Raw genomic sequence first — 27,751 nt, forward strand, 5'->3', positions numbered from 1 at the left:
GCTACTGCTCCAAAGTTAACTATTATGATGCTTTTAACTTACGCTGGGTGATTTTGTTTTTTTTATTTTATCTTATTGGGTGTTTGTGCAATTCTGCATACTGCACACAGCTCATCTCAGGCCTCTTGTCTCTGGCTCACACTGACATCCTCCTTAGGCACTCATTTCCTGTCTAATGTACTCCCTACACTCAGTTTTGACCCCATTCCACTAGCTCCTCACTTTTCCCATTCTATCTTCCACATTGCTGCTCATGATTTTGTTCTAAAACACAGCTCAGGCCACTTCTTTGATTAAAATCCTTTATAGTTCCTTCTTGGCTTCAGGATATAATCAAGATAATATCACAAGGCATACAAATCCCTTTATTCCTTGACCCTTGCCTCCTTCCTTGTTCTCATTTTCCCTTTGTTCCTATTCATCTTTCCGCCATCCCAAATTTATACGGATATATAGTAGAAATGCAACAGGAAAAGATAAAGCAAGAAATAGTGAATATAAATGTTAAGGGGCTGAAATGTTAAGCGTCCATGAAACTCTTCATTGAAAAAGTGATGTTTTACTACATAGGTGAAGGAAGTGAGGGAATGAGTTGTTCAGCCATCTGGGGGAATAGAAGCAGAGACAAACAGTGCAAAGGCCCTGAAGTGGGAGCATCACTGGCATGTTTGAGTAAAGCCAGGAGGCCAGATGACTCAAGAGGGTGAAGCGGGGAGACACAGTAGTAGGAAGGGAAGAAAGTGGGATGAGTTCATGCTGGCAAGTAGGTCAGAACAAGGGCTTCGGATTTTATATAAATGAGATGGGAAGAAATTAGTAGATTTTGAGCAGAGGAGTGGCATGGTTTGTTTTATATATAGGAAGGATAACTGTCTGCTGAATTATAGGCTGAATAAAGATTAAAGGGCTGCAAGGGTGGAAGCAGAGAGATTTAAGAGGCTTTTATAATAATCCAGGTAAAGTGGAATGTGTACTGGACCACAAGGGTAGTAGCAGAAATTGTTATAAATAGTAAACTCTGGAATTATTTTTCTTGTGGAGCCAGCAGGATTTGCTTATTACATATGAGGTGGAGGGAGAGGAGTTAAGGATGACTGCGAGGTTACTGACCTGAACAACTAGAAGTATTGCATTGTAATTAGTTGAGAGAAGGATGACTGCGAGGTTACTGACCTGAACAACTAGAAGTATTGCATTGTAATTAGTTGAGAGAAGGAAGACTGCAGATAAGGGAAGCTTTGGGGGGAATATTAGAACCCAACTGTGGAAATGTGAAGCTTCAGGTATTTATTAAACACCCTAGTGGAAAGATAGAGTAGGAAGTCAGATAAATGGGTCTGGACTTCAGGTCAAGTTTGGAGATATACATTTGACAGTAATCACCATAAAGATGGTATTCAAAGCTATGTGAGTAGATGAGTATGGGGGATGAATAAATGGAAATGAAAATGGTTCAATGACTGAGTTTAGAAGGACTCCCAAATTCTAAGTTTGGAGGAATGAAGAGGAGTTGGCAAAGGAGCAGGAGAAGGAACAGCCAGAGAGGTAGGTAGAATACTGAGAGAGTACGATGTCCTGGAAGTCAAGGGAAGAAAGCATTTCCAGGTAGAGAAATACTCACTGTGCCATATGCTAGGATGGGTCAAGGATAATGATGACTGAGAGCTGAATTTAGGAACATGGAGATTACTGGTGACTTGATAACAATACTTTTTGTGGATTGGTAGAGGGTCAAACCTAACTGGCATGGGTTCAGGAGGCAACAGAAGGTGAGGAATTGGGGATACCAACTATAAGAAACTCTATCCAGAAATTTTGCTATAAAGAAAAAGTGAGAAATGGGGAGGTAGCAGGATGGGGAAAGGAATTTGGAACAAGATTTTTGTTTGTTTTAAGATGGGAGAACTAACTGCATCTTTGTATCTTCATGGGAATGATTCAGTAGAGTAGTAAACAGTCATGCCATCAAAGATAGATGAATTAGTTCATTCTCACACTGTTATAAAGAAATACTTGAGACTGGGTAATTTATAAAGACAAGAGGTTTAATTGGCTCACAGTTCTGTAGACTGTACAGGAAACATGGTAACTTCTACTTCTGTGGAGGCCTCAGGAAACTTTCAATCATGGCAGAAGGCGAAGGAGGAAAGATGTTTCACATGGCCAGAGCAGGAGGAAGAGGGGTTGGGGAGAGGTGCCACACACTTTTAAGCAACCAGATCTCATGAGAACTCACTCACTATTGTGGCAACAATACCAAGAGAGAAATCTGCCCCTATGATCCAATCACCTCTCACCATGCCCCACCTCCAACATTGAGGATTACATTTCAACATGAGATTCGGTGGGGACACAGATCCAAATCATGTCAATAGAAAACAAAAATAAGAAAGAGAGAAACAGATCTAATGGACACACAGAAAGGTTGGGTTTAGATAAGTGATTCCTCCACAGAAACAGGAGATAATTTAGAAAATTATAGGCACAAAGAGAAGTAGAAGGAAATGGATAGTAATAAGAGCTCTTCTGATTGCTACAAGTTTCTTGGTGAAAAAAGGAAACAAAGCCATGAGCTGAAAATGAGCATTGGAGAAGAGACTGTGACTGCTTGAAAAGAAAGGGGAGTATGCCATCTAGAAGAGCAAGACAGTGAGTAAACTGGCAACATATAGTATGACCACCAGGCTGCATTCAGGCTGTGGTTTTGGTTTTGTTTGGGGTTCATGAGTTCAGCATATTTGCATACTTTCCTTCTGCTATATTTATGGGGATGGTGCAGGCACAGAATAGGGAGAAAGCTGATTTAAACTGGGTTGAGTTTTTGCCAAGGCAGTGCAACTCAGCTACAGTGGGACAGAGTTGAAGATGATAGCAAAGGAATGATTATAAAGATCAATGACAAAATATAAACCAAACAAGGAGGAAAATGAGGACGTAAAGGGAACGAGGGATAGTGAAAGGTGGTAGAATCAACAGACCGAAAGTTGCAGTCAGATAGAAAGTTTTTTGAAGGTGAATACTAGAAAACAAGATGAAAAATAGGAGGTTATATTAGTCAGGGCCCTCGCAAAAAACAGTTGGAATATTCAAACTTGGCAATTGAGGAAGTTTGGCAAACAGACTATTTACAAATGTAGGTCAGAGTTTAGGCAGCCCACATGGCACAGTAGTGCAGCACCCTGAGAACACCAATGAGTTATCACCCCTAAGCCTGAAGGGGGCAAGAGAAGGGTGCAAGCTGAAGAAGGTAGCTGTAAGGAGCAAGTCCTCTGCCAGGATCCCAAGATGGCCCACATTATTGGGCAGGTGGGAATTCTGGGAATACAAGACTGATTTTACTCTCCTCCTGCCCTCCATTTTTCTAAAATGATTCCCATTAGCCCAATCCATCATGGAACCAGAAGGCAAGACAGCTTTTTGATGTAATCTATATAAGACATAGAGCAGGAGTGAGGCGTAAATTTGGGGCCAGGCTGTGGGGAGAACAGGGGTAAGGGTGAGATGCTCTCTAGTGCAGGGGTGATATTCAGGATAGTTTTTGTTATGGGCTGAATTCTGTCTCCTCAGCATTCATATGTTGAAGTCCTAACCCCAAATACCTCAGAATGTGACCATATTTTTAGACAGGGTCTTTACAAAGGTAAATACACTGAAATGAGGTCAATAGGATGGTCCTAACACAATATGACTGTTGTCCTCACAAGAAGAGGAGATTTGGACACAGGCATGAGGATAAGGAGGAAAATATGAAGACATAGAAGGAAGATGGCAAACAATAAGCCAAGGAGGGAGGCCTGGAGCACATCTTCCCTCATGACCCTCAGACAGAGCCAACCCTGCTGACATCTTCACCTCAGACTTCTAGCTTTCAAAACTGTGAGAAAATAAAGTTCTGCTGTTTCAGCCACTTGATCTGTGGGACTTTGGTACAGTAGCTCGAGCAAACTAATATAGCTTGAAGGTGAGATTGTTGATTATCAGTTATTAGTAATGGTAATTGTTATTGGAAAGAGTAGCACAAGACAAAGAGAGTTAGGAGCAAGAGGAGAGGTTAAGATGGTAACTGTTTAAGATTGAAATTGTAAGTAATAATTAAGAACTTTAAGCTGCCAAAAGAAGAAATCTTGGATAAAGTGCTTTTAGGTGTCTAAGAAGCTACTGGGTGAGGTTACTCTGAGCTTGGGAGAAGAGAGGCTTACACTTGGCAGGAAACGTTTTGTAAAGGGTGAGAGGGGAAGGCAAAGGCCATTCGGTGGGTTGAACAATGCTGTGAAAATGGGCAAGCCTCACCTCCAAACTCCTCTGAAATAACTTCTCACTAAAACTCATGATTTTCTGACACAGCTCCTGCTGCCTTTCTGGTCTTTATTTTCTCTGTTTCTCTGCCAGTTCCCCTGCCTGCTTCTTTGAGGTTCATATGATACCAGGATCCTCTTTCAGCCAGATTCCTTTCTCTCAGTACAGGTATTCCTACCTGGCTTCACCTATCCATAATATTCTGATAATACCAGAATGTATATTTTTACCTCTTTTTTAAAAGAGATTGGTGTCAATCTGCATGTTTTAGGTACTTCAAATGAAACAAGTTCAAATGTGAACTTACTATTTTTTCCTCAAACTCATTTCTCCTCCTTTATTATCCATGTCAATGGCTTTACTATTTATCCAGTCACTCAAGCTAGAAACCATGCTACCATCTTGAATTCTCCCATTTCTTTACTGACACTCTTATTTCAGTTCCCCTTCCCCCCAAATTGCCTTCATCTAATTTATTGATTTGCTTTAGAGACATCATTTATATCTCTTTGCTTTACTGTCTCTCAGCATTCTTCCTGACATTCTTTCCTCAAAGCTCTAATCAGCTTTCAAATGCACATGCATAGGCCAAGGCAAATTTTAAAAACCCGATGGTGCTATTCAAATATGCTACCATAATTACTTTCTTCTTCCATCATGAATTGGCCACCCAAGAATAGAACTATAGTTTCTTAAACACTAAATAATTCAAAGCAATATGTTAAATATTTTAAATATAGAGATAGTAAAGATGATGCATTCCTTTCTCCTGCAAGTCCTTTGCTTGGTAAACATAAGGACTAAAGAGTATATAATTTTGAGGTTCTAGATACAGCATTTAATTCCTTGTTTGTATGAATTTACTTCTTTAGGAATTTATCTTTCCATGAAATCATCAATTCCAGGTTTAGAGTTATGAGAAGTAAACTGAGACAGGTATTATGACTGGAAACTAGGTGGTTTACAGTTCAACTATTTGGAAATGCTATCTTTCCTCATACTAATTTTTTAAATCTAATGCTTTATGAAGATTAAATAAGACGGCATTCAGATTAATATACACCCAAGGAGAACAATGTAAATGTTTCTCTAATGTTGGCACTGTGAACACTTACTTCTTTCAAAACATTCAGGTTTGGCATCACTGGGAATTACTGAAGAGACTAAAAAGTTTCAGAATCTGGATTCAGATTTCACATCTATTTACCTTGAAATGAGATCAAACGTTGCACAAAACGTTCTTCCTAAAAATAGACCTTTTAACATTCTGAATTAAAAGCATAAAACCTGAAGCTAGAAACCGGTTCTGTAATACTGATCCCAGGAAAAGACTTTGCTTATTCTGCTAAAAGTCTAGAACCCAGTTTAAAGTGGAAAAAATTAAACTTCATTACAAGAACCAGTGTTTTCACTGGAATCTATTCCTATCTTTACTGGTACATTTGTAAAAGTGTGTTGCATAACTGTTGAGAGACCTGACCGGGTAAGGCTCTGTATAACACCAAAATATAAAATAAAATAAATATAGTTACCTGTTAGTCCACGACAGTATCAGTCCTTCTTAGTCTAACATGTATTGTCATTGTAGTTTGAGATATCAAAAAGCAATAATATTCAACTTTTTATCTGTCTTTATAAAGATTACAATATTTTAGTAATTTAGGAATGGCTATTAATGTTCCAATTTTTTTTCAACATTTAGTCCTATATGCCTTTGAACTTTCCATAAATTGCTTCAAACTATTTAAAAACTAAAGCTATTTTTAAATTAAATATAAAAATTGGAAAAATTGGGAAAAGAAACTAGAGTCATCCAATATAAGTGATCTTTTGAGAAATTTTGGCACAAAGGGGAAGATGGGGTCAAATAAGATTTTCTTTTTTTTTTAAGATGGGAGAAATAACTGCATACCTGTAGGCTGTTGGAAATAATCTAGTAGAGAGAGGAAAATTGGAGAAATAGGAGACAGAGGGAAGAATTGCTGGCAAATGGGATCTAGTGCACATGTGGAGGAATTAGCTTTAGATAAAAACACAGATGGCTCACTAAAGACAGAGTCCACAGGTGCGAATGCTGTAAAGATATGAAGAGGGGAATTGAGAAATACTTTTCTGATAGCTTCAATTTTTTTTTTTTTTTTTTTTTTTTTTTTGAGACAGAGTCTTGCTCTGTCCCCCCAGGCTGAAGTGCCGTGGTGAGATCTCGGCTCACTGTAACCTCTGCCTCCTGGGTTCAAGCAGTTCTCCTGTCTCAGCCTCCCGAGTAGCTGGGATTACAGGCACAGGCCACCATGCCCAGCTAATTTTTGTATTTTTAGTAGAGGGTTTTCATCATCATGGCCACGCTGGTGTCGAACTCCTGACCTCATGATCCGCCCACCTTGGCCTCTCAAAGTGCTGGCATTACAGGCTTGAGCCACCGAGCCAGACCCTGATAGCTTCAATTTTTTCAGTGACAGGAGAAGAAGTTTCTCCACTGAGACCAACGATGGAGGAAAGCACTGAAAGTTTGCAGAGACGAGACAAGGGAAGGCGTCCATTGAGGACAGCGGGAAAAGGAGTAGACTGGGGGAAGCACAGTGGGACCACCAGGCCACTTTATGGGATGTTTGAGGTTCACACGCATCAAGCATTTCACCAACCCCATTTAGCTGCTCTGGTGCAGCAGGGAATAGGTGGAAACTTGGATTAATTAGCACTGTGACTTGCCAAGTGAGATAAAAGCAAGAGAGTTAAGGATGACTGCATGGGAGTGACTGTAATGACAGTGGAATTTAAACTAGATAAGGAGCAAAAAGGAAACGAAGAAGACGAAAGTGAGTGCAAAGCAAGTAGAATCACAGGAATGGTCTTTTCAGTAGGTTTTGAGGATTTCTGAAGTCCGAGACATAAAGGGAATGTGCAGGAAGGAAAGGAGATGGTCATAAACGAAGTAAAGGAAATTGAAATAAGAGGGCTGTGTTTTTTAGTAATGGCAAATTAGGGTAGTTGAGACAGGTGGAAGACAAAATCTTTTTTTTTTTCCTTTTTTTGGAGACGGAGTCTCATTTTGTCATCCAAGCTGGAGTGCAGAGGCGTGATCTAGGCTCACTGCAACCTCTCGGATTCAAGGGATTTTCCTGTCTCAGCCTCTCAGAAGAGAACATCTTCATAGGAGAGGAGCTCTAGGAACTGAGAATGCAGGAAATTGGAAGAAATATACATTAATAGCCAAGAATTTAGACAGGACTGGGGAGCCAGGAACAAACATTTGAGATGTTGGGCTTTTAATGGAGTTGCCACGGATGACAGCATCATGAGAAATGAGGTTTAAAAATGGAGGATTGTTCGAGGAGGGAGGAGGGCTGATCTGAAAGCCACAAGGAGGACAAATGGAACACCTACCCCCACTACAGGCTGGAAGGTAAGAAGGCTGCAAGAGAGAAACAGATAAAAAAAACTCATGCCTTGAGAGTGCTTCGGGAGAAGCCATTTCCTCAGGGAAGAACATTAAGAGTAAAAATATAATATAATTACTATTGTTAATGAAACTGTTGACTCTTGGAAGATAGGACAGGTTTGTAATTTTTTTTCTCCTGCAGCATCTGGCATAATGTGTTGCACTTAGTAGGAAATGTTTTTTAACTGGATTTCATTTTATTGCACTATCACTTTACTTCTACTGTTTAAACAAAAGCTGGTTACATTGGACTCAAACTCACAAGGCAAAGCTATAATATAATGGGTATTTTATTTCACTCTGTTAGAAATATTTAGTAACCACTGAAGTTGTAAAAGGAAGATGAAAACATGACTGTAAGGAATTTATGTTTAATAATGTTGCTGGAAGGATAAAATGACAATGTGAGACTAAACACTTTGCAAAGAAGGCTATCTAAAAAATTTTGTAGGTGGTAGGTGAATGAGGTGGACATAAAGACTGATAGAGAACAAATTATACTATGATACATACAATAAGTTAAAACTTGAACTACGGTTATAGAAATCCTAAGGATAGCATTCACAAGGCATAAGATCAAGCAGTAATCCTGATGAATTTGCAAAGAGAAAAATAGAGCTAAGAGTAAACTTCCTCATTTTTGCCCATGATCTTCCTTCTTAAATACTCTTACTAAGTGAATTGCATAAATCTATATATTTTTGTGAGATATCAATGAGAAATATTTAAGTATATATAATTACATTTTTTCTTTTTTCTGTACCCTAGGAAAATTGGATTGAAAATTGATAAATCCATTTCCATTCATTAGATGGAGTCTTAGTACTTTTAGTCTGCTACGTTAAAAAAATACCATAAACTGGATGGCTTATAAACAATAGAAATTTTGTCACGGTTCTGGAGGCTGGGAATTCCAAGATTGAGATTTTAGCAAATTTGGTGTCTGGTGAGCACCTGCTTTCTGATTCACAGACTGCACCATCTCCTTGTGTCCACATGGTGGAAGGGGCAAACAAGCTCCCTTGGGCCTATTAAAATAGGAGCACCAGTCCCAAAAGGCCCCGCTTCCTAATTCCATCGCCTGAGGGTTTAAGATGTCAACATGAAAATTTTAGGGAGACACAAGCATTGAGCCCAAAGCAAATGGTATCTTCAGTGGTAGCTCTTACTGAATGGTAGAGTGAAAGAGGGGCAAAAACAGAAACAGAATAAAAAGGCATTCATATATAGACTTAGGAAAGGATGACAAAATAGAGAATATTTTAGTTCTTTCCTGCCTCTTTGATTTTTTTAAGGTTTGTTAACAGGATTGATCAATCATTCCAGACATAAAACATCACTGTTGTAAATATTTTTGGAGTATCTTTTTATTCTTTTTTTTATATATACACATTTCCAACAAAATTGGAATCATAATACTCATACTGGTTTTGTATATATCTTAAAATTTAATAACTATTTTTCTCTTTTCTAAACATTTACATCATATGATTTTAGTGGCTAAATATAGTTATGAGTTTTAACTGCTTTCTATTATTGAGTGTTAAATTTGTTTCCAGTAATGGATATTTATGGCTTTTCCCTAAAATAATTTTCTGGAAGTATATGCCTTTAAATAGATATTTTTAAATTATATGCCAGAAAATTTTAAAAGATTAAAATGTGAAATTCTTTTTAGCTCAAGGGGAGATTTTTTTTTCGAGTGTACCTAATGGTAAAGAATTGAGGCCGGGCGCGGTGGCTCACGCCTGTAATCCCAGCACTTTGGGAGGCCGAGGCGGGCGGATCACGAGGTCAGGAGATCGGGACCACGGTGAAACCCCGTCTCTACTAAAAATACAAAAAATTAGCCGGGCGCAGTGGCGGGCGCCTGTAGTCCCAGCTACTCGGGAGGCTGAGGCAGGAGAATGGCGTGAACCCGGAAGGCGGAGCTTGCAGTGAGCGGAGATCGCGCCACAGCACTCCCGCCTGGGCGACAGAACGAGACTCCGTCTCAAAAAAAAAAAAAAAAAAAAAAAAAAAAAAAGAATTGAGTGAATCTACCCGTCAGTTCATTGCACATTATCATCATTAGTATTAAGAAGAAGCCAATCTATTCTTTTGGTAGTCTTCATCCAAGATTTCAATTTCATTTTTCTCCTCCATAGAAAACAATTCTTCTGGTTTGATATATGATTTGAATACATATGCAGTGTTTAAAAATAATCTCTATTTTATATCTTGATGGTAATTTATTAATTTCACTTAATCTGCTATTTATTTCATATAAATTATGTCTAAGAAATATTTCACATTCATTTGCTATTCAAGCAATTGTGCTTATATATATGCATGTTTATGTATGTCCACCTGGTTTATTGGTTCTAACTGCATTCTGGAGTTCATAATGTATACCCACCACTTTTTAATCTTAATTTATTTAGTAATAAGCACTTTGTTGCCCTCCAAAACACCAGCACCAAAAACAGTGCTCATGTATTCTCAGACATGCTCCACCTTCGTACTACAATAGTCAATACCCACAACGGTCATGAATCTCATTGAGAATTTCTATGGGTTATAAAACCTATAAATTGGTAGAGTAGGTCATTGGGTACCTGCATTCTTAATTTGACTAAATATTACCAGATTGCTTTTCAGAAAATCTTCACCAGTTTATAAGACGACAAGCAATGTCTAAGAATTTGTTTCCTAGTGGATGATATTTTGATATCCTGTTGTTTTATGGTTTTGTTTTGGCAGTAAAGAATAACATTTATATTAAATGTGTTTCCTATATAAAATGAAGAGAAGATTTGTTGTTCCCCAAGGAACTCTAGCTCTGTAAGATTAATTTTAATGCTTAGATTGACTTAAGCCTTGCTTCACTGGGGGTGATGAAGATATCCATGTAATTACTAAAGATGTAGGCTGAATCTATTCATATTTTAAGAACATAATTTAAAAAATTGTTCAGCACACTTCATTATCAGTTGCCTTTGGTAATTTTTTTTTTTTTTTGAGACACAGAAACACACAGAGAAATGATGAGACCTGCAGTTAAGAGAAGCGGTAAATAGAATCCAGCATTAAGAAAACTCAGAGGTTGTAATTGACAGAAAAGGACTTTAATGTAGCTATCATAAATATATTGAAGCACAAAACAAATAACATGCTATGATTATAATGAATGAATAGATATGAAATGTCATCTGAGAAATAGAAACTATGAAGAATCATCAAATAATATTCTAGAACTGAAAATTGCAACACACAAATAAAACACTCATTTGATGAGATTAACTGCAGATTAAAGAGAGCATAAGAGAGGGCTAGGGAATGTGAAGATAAATTAGTAGAAATTATCTAATATGAAGGACAGAAAGAAAAAAACTAAAAATATGAACAGAGAGTCTGCAAACTGTGGTTATTTTCAAATAAATGAAAGCATTAAAGGAATGCTATAACGAGTTATGATCATGCCACCACACTCCAGCCTGGGTGACAAAGTAAGGCCATCTCAATAAAAAAGAGTGCTACAGGTAGGTTTTCAGGCTGAATTAAAAAATGACTCCAGATGGGTACTCAAATCCACAGGAAGAAATGAAAAGTATTACTAATCGTAAAAACATGAATATTGTTTCTTTTTTCTTTTCTTTTTTTTCTTTCCTTCCTTTTCCTTTCCTTCTTTTCTTTCTTTTTTTTTTTTTTTTTTTTGGAGGTAGGGTCTCACTCTGGTGCCCAAGCTGGAGTGCTGTAGCACCATCAGGTCTCACTGCAGCTTTGACCTCCTAGGCTCAAGCAATCCTCCCACTTTGGCCTCCCAAAGTGTTGGGATTACAGGCATGAGCCCCCACACCTGGCTCAAATATGCATGTTTAGCAAATATCTTTTATACTTCTTTTACTTTTAAAAAAGTCAATTTAGTATAAAAATAAAAACATAATATTGTGTAATGGGTTTGTAACATATACATGTACATATGTACATGTACATATTTGTAACATATACAAATAAAAAAGATGACAATAATAGCGTGCAGAATTGTAAATGCAGAGACACTGGTTCAATGTTCTTACTTTTTTTTTTTTTTCTTTTTTTTTTGGTGGAGTTTCCCTCTGTCGCCAGGGCTGGAGTGCAGTGACATGATCTCAGCTCACTGCAAGCTCCGCCTCCCAGGTTCACGCCATTCTCCTGCCTTAGCCTCCCGAGTAGCTGGGACTACAGGTGCCTGCCACCACGCCCGGCTAATTTTTTTGTATTTTTATTAGGGATGGGGTTTCACCATGTTAGCCAGGATGGTCTTGATCTCCTGACCTCGTGATCCACCCGCCTCAGCCTCCCAAAATGCTGGGATTACAGGTGTGAGCCACCGCACCTGGCCTCAATGTTCTTCCATTTTTTATGAAGTAGTATAACAATACAACTATGAGTTCTTACTAAAAAGCCATTAGAAGAATTAAAATAGAATACAAAAATATTTGGTTAGCTAAAAGTGGCAGAAGAGGAAGAACACAGGACTAAAAAACAAATAGGACAAATAGAACACAATAGCAAAACAGTAAACCTAAATCAAACCAATGATTATGTTAAACGCAAATAGAATATACATTACAATTAAAAGGCCAGATTGTCAGACTGTATATAAAGCAAAACCAAATGGTGAGCTTTGTTTAGAAGGAAACAAGTAGCTTAAAAGAAAGGAACGGAAAAATATATGCCATGGAATACTAAGTATCAGAAAGCTAAAATAGCTCTATTATTATCAGAAAAATCAAGAAAGAAATTTCACAGTGATAATGGGGTAATTTTTGAGGGAGACATATCCATTATAGATGAGTATGCACCTAACAACAGAGCTTCAAAATACGAAAGCAAAATGGTTAAGATATAGGGAGGAATTAAAAAATCCAAACATGTATTTGAATATCTTACAGTCCTTTTTAGTAATGATAGAAAATTAGACCAAGAATTCAGTAGCAAATCAGTGCAGGAATAAGATATCTACACAATTCTACTAACTATCTTGGCTTAACGGAAAATAATAAATTGTAATCTATTGAATAAAATAAAAATCTGAATTTATATTATATGCAAATTAAAAAGATTAACAAGAGATAGGATATTTACACAGTCTTAAAATAGCTCCCTACAAATTGCTTATTAATTATATAGGGGTAGATAGTTAATTTATGGTTGACGATTCTGGTGGGTGACATCACCTTAATGAAGAGATCAATGTTCACTTCACTGTATCAGGACAAACTGATACCAAGTGCTTGCTGACATGATGCAGTGAAAGGAATACAATGTCATTTTCTGAATCAAATCATAAGGAATCATCAGAAAAAAAAACACAATGAGAAATATTCTTTAAAGTAGCTGATCTACACTTTTGAAAACTGTCAACACAAAGACAGCAAAGAAAATCTGTGAAACTATCTTAGAGTAAAGGAGTCTGAAGAGACATGAGCATGACATGCAGTGTGATCCTGGATTGGATCCTAAACTGTGGAAAATAGCTCTGTAAGGCATTATAAGACAATTGATAAATTTGAAATATGATCTGCGGTTTTATACTATTGTTTCTGTGTTTCATTTCCCAATTTGGTTAATTTGTATCTGATCATATAAAGAGAATGTCCATGTCTTAGGAAATATTGTTAATAATTTCATCTTCTCTCTTTGAACTCCAAACCCCTAAAATAACTGATATTTATACTTTGGTATTTATCATTCCACATATGTTACTGGGTCAATGCAAAAACACATTGGCATACATATACATATATTTTTTTTTAATAAAAGTGGCACTATACAATACACATCTGTTGGAAATTATCTTTTTCTTTTTTACCTTTAAAAGATATATTGGGCATCACTTCAGATAAAAAAATATAAATCTTTATTTTTAATCATAGTATAATATTACATAGGCTGAATAAACCTTAATTTATTCAAGCGGTGCATTCTTAATGGAATTCAGTTTGTTTTCTAGATTTTTGCTATTATAAACAATACTGTAATAAACTTCTTGTGTTCAAGTGATTTTGATTCTTTAGGGGACATTTCCCAAAGTCTATTTGGTTGATATACATATTTTAAAATTGTCTGTGTACTCATTTTTAATTTTATAATTAAACTTTGGCAAAAATATGTGTTACAAATAGTGAATTTTCTGCAATTATTAATTTAATAAAACAATGACAATCAAGAATTAACTTTGTATACTGAACATATTCTAAATATCCCTAGCATCAAAACCCTATAATTAGCTAAATAATATCTAATTTTCCGAAGAGAAAAACAGAACAAGAATACAGTTGAATGAGAAATGTTTTGGAAAAAATATTTCTTTATTCACAAATAAATGAATTTTTTTTTTACTAACAATTTAACTTTCCACCCCAATCACATAGATCAATATTGAATACTAATTTTCTCTAGGTAGATTGTTAAATCTCATTATTTTGAGATTTTCTACATTGCAAACAAGAATATTTGACTGGAATGTCAACTGAAATCATTTGAAAAACTATCATTTTTGTATTTCATTATCAGTTTTCACACTTCTCTCCTCCATTATGAAACGTTATGGATTAAGTTCTGTCTTCCCTCAAAACTCGTATGTTGACGTCCTAACCCCCAAAACTTCAGAATGAGACATTATTTGGAAATGAGGTTTTTGCACATGTAAATTATGGTGAGAATGAGGTCATACTGAAGTAGAATGGGCTCCTGACTGTTGTCCTTTTTAAGAAAGGAAATTTGGCTAGAAATTCACACAGGCTCAACATCATCTAAAGATGAAGGCAAAGAGAGGAGTGATGCTTTTACAAGCCAAGAAATGCCAGAGATTGCCAGCAAATCACCAACCAGAGGCTAAGGCATGGAACAAATTTTCCTACAGAAGGAACCAAACCTTCTGACACCTTGATCTCAGGCTTCTAGCCACCACAACTGTGAGACCATAAATTCCTGTTGTTGAAGCCACCCAGTTTGTGGTACTTTGTTATGGCAGCACTAGCCGACTAAAGCAGGAAGCAAAGAAGAAAAGATGATCTAAGTTGTTGCTCAACATTTGATTCCTAGTGCATATTAGTATTCGCATACTTAAACTAGAAAATATCAAGTACCATTTTAAACTTTTTCTAATATAATTTAGATGCATCTGCTTTATATTTGCACTTTAGTATCATCAATTTGGATTGTAGAATCCTAAATAGTTTCACAGAAACTACAGAACTGAGTCTTAAAATAAACGTTTTGGCTATTAAATCACAGATGGTCACCAGAAAGCTTACTGCAATTTTCTACCCTACCGCAAAAAATGAAATTGGTTGTTTTTTCCATGCTGTTATAATTGTGGAAGGGAAATGAGGTAACACGATTTATAAAAATGGTTTTTTATAGGTATTATTTTTTAAGTTGCCTTTAGTATTATTTTTTCTTTCCTTCAGAACATTTACTCTTTTTGTTGTTGTTGCTTGTATTGTTTTTAGATTTTAGTAGCATACTGTAAAGGTTTTGGAATGGCTTGTAGCATTTTAGTATATAATGGGGCACAAAACAGGTTGTCCTCCGTCTATTTAATTCAGGATCTTTTTTTGTTTTGTTTTGTTTTGTTTTTTTGAGTTGGAGTCTCGCTCTGTTGCCCAGGCTGGAGTGCAGTAGCTCGATCTCGGCTCACTGCAAGCTCCGTCTCCCGGGTTCACGCCATTCTCCTGCCTCAGCCTCCTGATTAGCTGGGACTACAGGCGCACACCACCATGCCCGGCTAATTTTCTGTATTTTTGTGGAGACGGGGTTTCACCGTGTTAGCCAGGATGGTCTCAATCTCCTGATCTCGTGATCCGCCCGCCTCGGCCTCCCAAAGTGCTGGGATTACAGGCGTGAGCCACCGTGCCCGGCCCACTCAGGATCATTTTTATCTATAAGGCTCACATGCGAAAAGGATATGTTTTAGGCAAATGCTTTATAATAAACAACTCTGAGAATTTTCTAGGACCTGAGCTTTCATGAACACTGATGGTGATAATTTGTGATGACTTGGCAGACACAGAGAGAGGAACATGTTCATAATAAGAAGATAAATAATTGAAGAAATGATTTTCCTTTTTTTTTTTGACATTTCCATAAAATCAAATCTGAGCTTTATTGTGGTAAGAACTGACATTGTGGGAAAAAAAAAAAAAAAAAGAGAGCTTTCCTGTCCCCATCGATATCTCTTTAAGATAGCAAAGGAGAACAATAACACAAATGACATCTCCAAATAATTTCTAAACTTCTTGGCATACATTTAATTTTCTTCACTTTCACTAATAAAGTTAATTTTTAAGCTTTCTTCCCTAGTTTATTTTCCAGAAGAGACTTTTCATGAACAATGTGAAAACCAAATTATAGTAGAACTAATATGCAAAATGCAACCTGAATTGATTCATTTCAAACGCAAATGTGTAGTTAAATATTTTCTCTTATTGATTCTCATTTAATTATGAAATATTGTTTTAATTTAATATTTTGTAGCCTAAAGACTTTAGAGTATATCATATTACTGATTTAACTGTTAGTTAGAAACACTATACTGCACTGTGCTTGAATTTAAGCAGTAGTACCTCATTTTAAGAGTTTTTTTATAATTGCTTTGCTAGAATAATTTTTCAATGGAAATATATCAGAGGAATATAAAAATTATTCTATGGATTGACTCATAATTAGACCTTTCGTGTATTTTAAGGTCAATACATAAAGTAAAACAGGAACCATTTTTAGAACATAAAAAAGGCTCAATAATCTATAGTCAAAAATGGCCTTTATAAAAGCATAGAATACTGACTTTTTATGTTTTAACTGCACCAATAACAGCAGCAGCATTATCAGGTCATAGGTCATGTTTTTAAACTTGCTGGCCACGTTTTAAACTTTGCCAGTTCTCAAAGAATGTAGTAGAACTTATGTTGAAATTATGTTGCACACACTACTTTATATTGGGTGTTAGCAAATCTCTTCATATGGTATTGCTCCTCCCATGATGTGAGCAGTTTGCATGAAGATTCATCTTTGCATGCTCCATCAAACTCAGCACACAGCCATCCATATGTTAGGCCCTCAGGAAGTACTCATAGAATAGAACGTTTCTCAGATGGAAAGAACTGTGAACAAATTCTTAAGAGATCAGAGTTTTCAGTCTGTTTCTCCCCCCGTGAATTTCCTGTCCTTGTTTTGTTCACAGTATCTCTTTAGTTTGTAACCCAAAAAATCTGAGACAGGTCTCAATCAGTTTGGAAAGCTTATTTTGCCAAGGTTAAGGATGTGCCGGTGACACAGCCTCAGGAGGTCCTGATGACATGTACCCAAGGTGGTTGGGTTCAGCTTGCTTTTGTACATTTTAGAGAGACATGAGACATCAATCAATATATGTAAGATGTACATTGGTTCCGTCATAGGAAGATAAAAGGCAATTCTTTTTGACAAGTCTTTTGCGTTCTCTTGAGTCTCTGATTAGCTTTTCACTGAATACACAATTTACATATGAGAGGAGGGTAGAGGAATAGTCATTTATGCCTTAGTCTGGCTTAGTGAATCTGCATTTTTAAGTAAACAATAAGGTAGAGGAAGCAATCAGATATGTATTTGTCTCAGGTGAGCGGAGGGATGACTTTCTGCCCTGCACCTGTGAAGATGAGCTATCAGTTTACATTGCCAGGGTGAAATTCAACAGAACTGGAATTTCACCCTGAAATTTCCTCAAGGTCTTTACCCTATTCCTTGTGTGCAAATTCCTTGTGGGCGAATTGTCAGGCAGGCATGTAGCTTTCTTAGCTATCTTTTTTAGGAATAAAATAGGAGGCAGGTTTTCCTGACGCAGTTCCAGCTTGACTTTTCCTTTTGGCTTAGAGATTTGGGGGTCCCGAGATTTATTTCCCGTTCACAGGTTCCATAGCTGAAAAAACAGAAGACTGAACTAAATAGTTTTAAGCTACTTTCAAGTCTGAAATGTGATTTCTGAGTAGTCCTCTTTTGTACTGCTTCTGGAAGTCTTTTTGTACAGACTGTTTCTTGCAAGCTTTCCTATTGCTTCAAATATGCATATCTTCAAACAGAGGAATGGATTCTGTGTATTTTTAAAAATATTTTATAATTGTCTGTATTTAGGCTCTCCTGTGGAGAGCTGGTACTAAAAGTATAAGCTTTTATTCTCAGCCTAGTATTTGTGTAATCTATAAGTATATATAAATGTTGGTTTCCTTGAAAAACTAATTTGTCAGTTCCTACTTTTTTTTTTAATTAATGAAAGTTTTCTCTAACTTGTTGCCAGGAGAATTTGGTATTTCAGATGTCAACTTTTCTGAAAGTAGTTTTGTTCCTTTATCATGGACTTCAGCAGTTGTTTTCAATACTCAAACTGACAGGGCGAAGGATAACAGTCTCAGCTGTGCTCCCACAGCTGGTAATTGAATGTTTCTAGCTGGCCTTGTGATGAGCAGGGCAGCCGATCTCTGCAGCCAAACGATGCTGAGAGCTGGAAACACAACCATCAGCTTCTCTACATGCTGATGAAGACAATGACGATGCATTCTAGGCTGGTGAAGATAGAGACTGCTTTGCAGAAATAGTATGCCTTGAGTACTTTTCATTCCAGTTTTAGTTATAAAATGAGTGTGAAAATTATTGGAATGATTAGTTTGCTATTTTAAAATATGGTTACATTGAATCATACAAAGAATTCTATCTATCTATCTATCTATCTATCTATCTATCTATCTATCAACATCATCTATCTATCTATCATCTATCTAGAATCTTCATCAGGACCTCTGAATGTAACCGGTTTTCTAGAGATAAGTGGGTCTAATTCCCTTAGTTTTCTACACAGACTGCTTAAACAGAAGTCAGGAAAATTGTCCTTGATTACCTCTGAGAGAAATGGTGCATGAAGGAAGGACAGGTAGAATGAGAAGGAGAGAAAGGGAAGATAGCCAAGAAAGAAGGGAGAGATTTAAAACTATTTAAGAATATGTGGTAAGAATGATGGAAGGATGTATTAACTGGTTGTTTCATTAATGTTCAGTCACAAATTTTATTCCTCATTCTTAAAGAACTGAATAAGATAAACTGCAAGAAACTATCATTTTCTGGAGATTTCCTATATCCTTATGTATAAATGTCTTACAACATTCTTAGGTAAGTTTTTTTCATCTGCATGATGTTTGCAATTGTGCCTCTTAACAAATGCACCTATAGCTCAGTAACAGCAATTCTGACACAGCTCAAAATAAAGATTTGTTATTATTTCAGCAAGCAAAGTAGATATTCACCATAAGGTTTTTGGTAATTTAGGACTGAATGATTTACTTTAGAACTATGTTTAACTCCCCTTCCACCCCAACAAAAGAACATTTTAATGGCATTATATTGCTTTCAATAAACCTTTTGGAGGTAAGGAAAAGATATCCTTAATCTCTGTCCTCAGAAAGTGAGCTCACTGACCTAGACTCCTGGGTATTAAAGAAGGCTAAATGTACATATCGTACAAATCTGGTCAGAGAGAAAAATCCAGTGTGGTTTGGGATTACTCAATTACAAAGGATTGGGTGTCATTGTAGGTACTGAAAGAGGGATCATGATCATTCCATTAACCCTAACCATTACCTTTGGAAAAAAGTATCAAGGCAAAGAAAAGAATAAGCAGAAGCTTCAGTTTGTTGTTTCAGAATTGTTGACTTTAAAAGAACACAAATACATTAAATAAACAAACAAACATGGAACCAAAGAAAACTTTCAATACACCCTTAAGACATCTGTCACAGGGTATTCGTATTATGATTAGGTACTTATTCCCATAGTGATTTTCATTTTTAGGTTAAAATTTAAATGAGTATCATCCCCTCCCCTTAGTTTATTCTTTTTTTTTAATCTTTTTCTTTTTTTGAGACAGTCTCACTCTGTCGCCCAGGCTGGAGTGCAGTGATGTGATCTCGGCTTACCGCAAGCTCTGCCTCCATGGTTCACACCACTCTCCTGCCTCAGCCTCCCAAGTAGCTGGGACTACAGGTGCCCACCACCACGCCTGGCTAATTTTTTGTATTTTTTAGTAGAGACGGGGTTTCTTCGTGTTAGCCAGTATGGTCTAGATCTCCTGACCTCGTGATCCGCCCACCTCAGCCTTCCAAAGGCTGGGATTACAGGCATGAGCCACCGCACTTGGCCAGTTTGTTCTTATAAAGATACCAAACTCAGTCGTCTACACAGTGTAGGAAACATAGTGGTCATTGAGAAGTCAGCTCCCTGCAGGTGTAAGCACCCTTTCTTACCGTGGCTCCTCTTTCAGCACAAGGCACCTAACACAATACTTTGCAAGCAATATAGACTCTTGTATGACTAATGTTAGAAATTATTTTATATTTTAAGTTAAAACGAAACTGCTTATCATTCTGACCCTCAGGTTCTTGCTTTACTTGCTGAACCCTCAGAAGATAGTTCTAATCCCTATTCTTCCAGATGACTGTGCTTCAACCATTTGAAGGCAGTGGTCCTTTATCTTCATGTAAAATCCACTCATACAGATAAGGCATCCCTATTTCCTTTCATCACTCCCTATAAGGGAATTTTCCAAATTGTCACTGTCTCCATCCAGAGAACAGCTCATTGAACAAGTAGGACTCTCAGTAATAGAACTGCCATGTATTTTAAACCTATGAATTTATTAATAAAACCTACAATAGCATTTTCTTTTCAAAGATCTTCATTACAGTAATTTATTTTAAGCCCCAAATTAAATATCTCTAGTTATTTGTCGCAAGCCCCACTCTTAGACTGCTTTTTCCGTCTGTGACTTTTTTGTGGCCTAAATTTAGAGCTGTATGTTCCTCCATGCGTTTCTCTCTAATTTCATCTATTTTGTTTTAGTCTGTCATTTCAAGCTGTTTGTTTAGTGATGGCAAATCTGCAATTTACTTCCTACAACGTTTTAAAGTAAAAATTGCAAACCTTCCTGTGAATTAGCAGTAGGAGATCATTATCCTTGATTTCTTTGGCCCTTTATAGAGATTAGTGCACTGTTGGTAACAGCAAGTGTCAGGAAACATGAAAAAATATGATTTAATTATTGAAACTGTTTGGATAAAAATGAAAAGTTCCCTGTACAATGTCATAATTGAATCCATTGATGTCCATAATTGTAATAAGAATTTTTGAGTTTTGAAGTCTTTTTCAGTTTTATGAGATTTTAGAAGAATTATTATTTCTCATTATTTTTATGAGTCTTGCTGGTCTGATGCCAAAAATTGAATTGTGTACTGTAGAATCATGGATGGCTCTGCTGGATTCTGACTCATGCCCTAAATTAAGAAATGGCTCTGAATGTTGTCTCAAGGGTAAGTTTTGCTTCTGCATTTGAGCTACAAATTAAGAGACAGATTTTGAAAAAGATGCTGGGCCTTGAAGAACATTTTCAAGGACAGAAGGGTAAAAAGACAAGCTGTTGTTGGTAGATCAAAAATGAGATGTAAATGCTAGACTACAAAAAATTTGTCTTTCACAGAGAAAACAACTACAAACAAAGAAAGCCACTAAACAACCTTTCGGATTCAGCCAGACTCCAGAAAAACGTTGCACATTTTGGTTGTTTGTTTTTATTCCATATCTCACTTTCAGCATTAAATATATATATATATTTTATTGACCTGATTTTAGTCTTGCTAATTAAAGCATCTTACAAAATATCTTGATTTAGGTTCCTCAGCTTTTGTCTGATATTTCAAAAGCTATTGTGTGAGAGCAGAGGTTTTACACAGTGTTACTGGACTCAAGCATTTGTGTTTAAATCTTTTCTTCAAAGCCCGCCAATTGAGACTCTGAGCAGGTTAAGCTCATCCCTGAACTTCAGTTTTCTCTATGTAAGATGGGGTTTTCTGTAGGTATAAATGAAAATAATACATACGAAGCACACAACAAAGTGTCTCTTACATAGCAAGTATTAGCAAATTGCATCCTTCCTTTTTAGATTTAAGCATTCCCCAACACTGTTCTGATATTTTACCTCACTGCAGATGAATACAAGAGATTAGTTTTAAAAGACTTGTTGAAAACAGTTAGCAGTGTTACTGTAATACCAGTGAAGACTCAGTCTAGGACCCAGTTGTATTCCACCCAATTTTTATTAGTTGCTTGGTTTGCTGTTATTGTTGTTTGTTTGTTTGCTTTTGTTTCTTAGTGACATGAAGAAAATTAATTTGACCCCTTTAAAAGTTAGGAAAATTTTTTATCTGATCCAGAGGTTCATTAATATTGAAATGAATTAGATACTATTTTAAAATAATTGATAAAAGAAAAAGGTCTTCTCTCTGCAGGGAGGAAAACAATAGAATCAGTGAAAGGGAGCCGTAAAGTGCTGTGCCTAGTGAATATCGGTATGAGCCAACCACAGATAGGAATCTCTTTGGGTAATAGAAATGACTGACTTCCTGACATCATTTAGTAGAATGAGGAGGAAGAGCTGCCTTCTAGGGTTTTAGACCAGAAGTGCTATTGATTGCCTTCAGAATGACACTTCTAAGAAATGGGTAAGAGTAAGCTAAAAGTTACATCTTTCTGAGTCTTAATCCAATCAGACTGTAATTGGTGATAGAAGCTTTTCAATTGTGACTACATGAGTTCTAGGATTAATTTTCAAGAAACTGCTCTCCTTCTAATGGTTTTCATCATCATAAATGCTTTCTTCTTCCATAGATTTTCTCTGCATATCCTAGAAATAGGAACAGGCAGCAGTATGTGGGCTCTGACCTCAAACCACACAGGCTCGTTCACTCCAGCTTCCCAGAAGAAAGTACCTGTCTTTGACAAAGAAGTCAGTGAAGGTCACTTTAGAACCCCAAACTTTTCTGTTCTGTAACGACGTGACTCATGCAAGACACAGAAGGACTGCACTAGATTACCATGGATGTGCTCTTAATCATTGCTGAGGTTCTCCATGGAAGAGAAATGATGTCAGTCACCTGCTAGGGAGATTTGAGTCCTTTCTGGGTCCTTTCCCTTCTTCATCATGGTCCTCACCGTGATCTTGCTAAAGTCATCCTTTCTCAACAGAAACCTCTCAGGGGCCAATTTAATAAATTCATTCTCAATTACCAGTAAAACTCTGGGGTGGAAGATGCATTTATACATCATCAAGTTATTATTAAATTTAAATCATTGAGTGACATGAACAGGCTGAGAATATTTTTCAAGACTAATGGATCTCCCTGTCACCAGAGACACTCCTGAAAAGGCAGCTCTCCTGAAGTGTTAGGGTCCATCCTATAAATTTACATAAATAGAGGTTGTTTCCTTTGGTCTTTAAAAGACTCCTGTGCTACATCAATTATATAACCCGTTAGGGAATTAAATAGTACCCTGTTGGGGAATGAGTCTACTCTGCTCTCTAGCATTTTAGTGTACTGATTTATTTATCATTTTAACCCAAATAAATAGTACTCCTTAACTTTTCTGAGTCATGGGCTCTTTTTTTACTAGAATCTCATGGAAATTACAGTGTTTTTTTCTTCAGAAAAATGCACATACATAATTTTGCAATGAAGTTCACATTGTCAATGGACTCTCTCAAGTATATCCATGAGCTTCAAAAGAAACACAGCCTCAGCTATTTCAAAGGCATGAAAAACTTGTGTCTAGGACAAGTAGTTCTGACAATTTTTTTCTCATAGGAAATGAAGGGCTGATGTTCACCCAGAGAGTGGTGCTGGCTGTTCACTGTCAACACCATTTTAACTGTAGGGCATCCATTCTGATAGTTCTGTGCCTGTGCCTTTCTATTTTTAGGTGTGTTTAATTTTGTCTTTGCATACAGGAAACATGGATGAACATGGCCAGGGAGAGAGGAAAAGGATGAAAGAACAAGGTGCCTACCATGGAGGATGCAAAAGAAATTTTTCCCCGAGAACTGTAGTCCCAGGTTAGGCATGCTCCAGCAAAACTTTTTCTCAGAGTTATCCCACTTCTCCTATATGCCAGGAATCTCCTTAGGCCTGAAGCATGCAGAAAGGTGCATAATTAGTCTTTGTTCAATAGGTCATCTTCTGGAGGTGATGGGGCTTTACTTTAGGTCCATAGACCCTGTTTACTAAAACCAACTTGTCACACTTCACACATTTGGGTATCCTTTATTTCTAACTGGAATTGTACTTGACTAGCATTTTTGGAATAATTCTGTTGGCAGTAGTTCTTCTGAGTGAGTACTACAACAAAGTTGTATAAGTCTAACCATTTTAGAATCTACTCTAACCAGAGTGTCAACTCCAACAAGAAAACCCCTAAAAGGAAAGAAAGAGCTGCCAACTATTTGATGGTTTGACAAAGTGTGGCTGTTTTTCTGGGCTGTGATTTATTTAAATTTTGCAAGCCCTTATCATCTTGCAGGTTTTAGGCACTTTGGTGGTGATTCAGATAAGGTTAAATGAGTTGCTTCCAAAACACAAGACTGTCGGGTGGAAATACGGAAAGACTTAGTGCCAGGTTTTCTGATATTTGAACCAATGCGCTGCCTCAGAGTTATGGGATTCAGGAGGAATTATTTGACCTCTTTGACCGGGTTTCCTCATGGGAAACATTTTGTTGATGGTGATTTGCTTGCCTCATACAAGGAATCATGGAAAAAACAATGTTAAAAACTTTGAAAGTTCTGTTTCATTCTACACAATGACGCTAATTTCTCTTAAATTAACTTGAACTTTTTTTTTCTCCATCTGCACAAGTAATTAGCACAGGATAGCTAGATTGAATGTCCAGCTCTCACATTAGGTAGAGATGTTAAACATGCACGTGTATGCGCACACACGCACACTCACACTCACACACACTCACACTCACACTCACACACCACTGCCTGCCATGAAGCACAACCACACTCATTTTAAAATTACATTTATTTTATTTTTTACTGCATTTTTTGAGAATGTGAGGAGAAAGGTTAAGAGCTTGAACGTCCTTGTATCTCTCAGTAGTAAAACAAGACCCCTGGGAACATGTGTGCCTGTCACAGCTGCACCCCACACCCAATGCTCAGACTTAAAAAAAATGAGAATGGCTTCTTCCATCACCATTTTGACCTTCTTAAATAATATTAATGTTGATTTACAAGGTTTAAAATGGCAAAGAGGGACAATGAATATGCTAAAATCTTGCTTTATCTGTAGTTATAAATGGTGAGCATGAAAGCAACACAAATAATTAATCTGGTTTCCTTTGTTTTGTCTTGGTCATTGGAAAGTCAAAAGTGAATCTTGGCCCAAATCTCTCATCTAGAGGATAGACTTGGAATAGACAATTACTATTTTTTGTATTTTTTGCTATTGTTCTTTTTTCAGCTAAATGCCTATGCATTGCTAGGAAATGTCAGGCTTTTTGGTCTTTGGTAATATTTTATTTAAGGACTTTAATGGAAATTAAAGAATATTACTTAAAGTTTTTTCCCATCTTGGTACTTTACAGGGTCAAAGAATGAAGGAGAAAAGAAAGAAAATGCAAAACAAACAAACAAACAAAAAAACTATGCAAAGTCTTCACTTAACCTGAATAAACTGAGTGTCATGGCAAATGCCATGTTCTTTGCATTTTTTTTTTTTTGGAGACAGAGTCTTGTTCTGTAGCCCAGGCTGGAGTGGAGTGGGGCAACCACAGCTCACTGAAGCCTGGAACTCATGGACTTAAGTGATCCTCCAGTCTCAGCCTCTGGAGTAGCTGGGACTACAGGCACACACCACCGTGCCTGGCTAATTTTATTTTTTGTAGAGACAGTCTCACTATGTTGTGCAGACAGTGCATATGTTCTTTTCATATGTCCTTTCCTATTGAACACACAAACCAAATCAAATTTACCAGATTTCCATGGACATGTAAATTTGATTTCGCTTTAACTATGAGCCATTGATTTCAGGGTACTGTGTTTTTTAGCATTTAGGTTTTACATTATGATTTTATCTTCAGGAATTCATTGATTTACACACTATATCATAAAATACATAGAACCTATGGTCAAATATCAGAATCAATGTTCTCTGAACTGAGCAACAATGGAGAGAAATCCCAGAGCTTTACATAATGGCTCTATTGCAAATTTACAGTCTTGAAGCTCAGTTGAGCAGTTTAGACCGCTTATAAATTATGGAAAGTTGGGCAGAATATTTGAAATCTGGACTATCCTAGAATAGCTGGGAAGAAGTTTAAGGTTCAGTGTAGGGTGGGAGGAAGAGACAGCTGTCAAAAATTCTAGCTTGGGTAACTGAGACAGAAGATGCCAGAAGATGAGGTATTTTTAGAGGAAGGATGATGAGTCAATTTGGGACACACTGGATAGGAAGCACTTGTTGGACATCTAGATAGAGATGACCAGTTGAGAGTTAAATATAAAATGTGAAACTCAGAGAAGTAGTCTAGGCAGCCCTCAGAAAATGAACTTGACTTAAGCCATTTGAGGAAGAAAACGAACACAGTTTAACAGTTGCATTGAGCAGGGCTCCCCTGTAGGCACAAAATTAGAATGAAAATCATATATAATTATTCCCTTATCCTGGCCTACCATCAGAGCCACTTACTGCAGCGTGAGGTCTCTTTTAGTCTGGATTCTGAGTGGACAGTGGAACTTCAGAGGAGAGCAGAGTGTGCTCAATTCCTGTTTGGGCAGGAGAGGGCACAGAGTCAGCAGCGACTTGCAACCAAAGGGTAGTTTCCTCACTGTAAGGAAAATTCTGGACAATAATATTAAATGATTGCTCACAGAAAGATGGATTTAAGTGCTCTGAAAACAATAACAGCAATGCTTTGGCTTGAAAAAGAGGTAAACTCTTCCAAAATTAGAGAGAGATTTTATGTAGATCAAAAAAGGTAGTAAGAAAAGCTATCACACCGACTGCTAGTAATAACTGACATTGGACATTGCTAGGTCTGGGCACTATGCTCAGTGCTTTATGTATATTAACTCATTTAATTCTCACTAAACCCTGTGGAGTAGGTACTGTTATCATTTTACATATGAGGAAACTGACACCCAGAGATTTTAAATATTTTACCCAGGGTTAAACAACTAATAAGGAGCAGAGCAGAGGCTTGAGTTTAGGCAATCTGGGTTCAGAGATCATGATCTTATAATACACTTCCTGTGTTAACACAAAACAACCCACTTTGGTTTCAACATACCATATGCAAGGTTCATACTGGTACAATTTGCACCGTAAATAGAGCAAATGCTATGAAAAAGCTGATAGATAATAGGAAGCTTTAATATCTCTACTCATTTAATCCAGAGTTTTACTCCCCGTCACCATGGAGAAACTATGCAGTGCTATGAAAGAATGCTCATCAGTGTTTTGTGGTTTTTTTTCCAGCTATCTCCTCTGCAGAACTCTGTGCTAATGATAGAATTTGCATACTAATGATAATTGCAACCAAGAAAGCTGTATTCTCTTTCTACTCGAGGTAATTGAATAAAGAAGTGCTGTGGGGCAATTACTGCAGTTAGTTATAGAAAATTCTCTGAAAAATAAGACCAAAACATATATACTCAAATTCAGTATGATTGCATTTATCAACATTATTTGCTTCTTTTAAATCATAATAATAATAGACAGAATTATTGCTCTGGGTTCTTTGACTGTGTTAACCCAGTCATCTCAATGGCTCTATTATTTAGGCTTATATTTTTCCATTTTATGGATAAGAAAAAAAAGAAGTTTAACAATGTGCCCAATAACACAGGTATGAACTTTAAAAAGGCTATTAAGAGATCATTTATATCATAGTTCTATTCTCTTATTTTTATTCTATCTTTTGATTATTATAAAATTAATTATAAATAGTGCCAGACATATTTTGCTGTTATAATTTTACTACATAATGGAACACTTTTACTCTACTATTTCAGTGCCCTTTTACTTGATTACGGCAAAATTCTTTGCTAATGACACCTTAACATGCATGACTGTGTTGTTGGGTTATTTTTTCCATGGGAGTTTCACTAATTCCATTTATTTGCCAGTCGGTGTA

General features: G+C 36.7%; 1 long non-coding RNA gene across 1 annotated transcript, besides 1 other annotated feature; it reads left to right on the plus strand.

Annotated features, from left to right (window-relative positions):
* Window positions 2,857-2,996: an enhancer, noted in NCBI's record as "active region_22082". NCBI's record gives its function as "activates an Ori minimal core promoter by ATAC-STARR-seq in GM12878 lymphoblastoid cells {active_cell/tissue: GM12878}" and the evidence as "EXISTENCE:reporter gene assay evidence [ECO:0000049][PMID:35858748]".
* Window positions 7,415-27,496, plus strand: LOC105377505 (uncharacterized). The gene is made up of 3 exons (XR_001741895.2): window positions 7,415-7,699; window positions 23,562-23,666; window positions 27,094-27,496. It is a non-coding gene; the product is annotated as an uncharacterized LOC105377505 (long non-coding RNA).
* Window positions 27,497-27,751: the final 255 nt, after the last annotated feature.

Source organism: Homo sapiens, chromosome 4, assembly GCF_000001405.40.
Source record: "Homo sapiens chromosome 4, GRCh38.p14 Primary Assembly".
Lineage (NCBI taxonomy): Eukaryota > Metazoa > Chordata > Mammalia > Primates > Hominidae > Homo > Homo sapiens.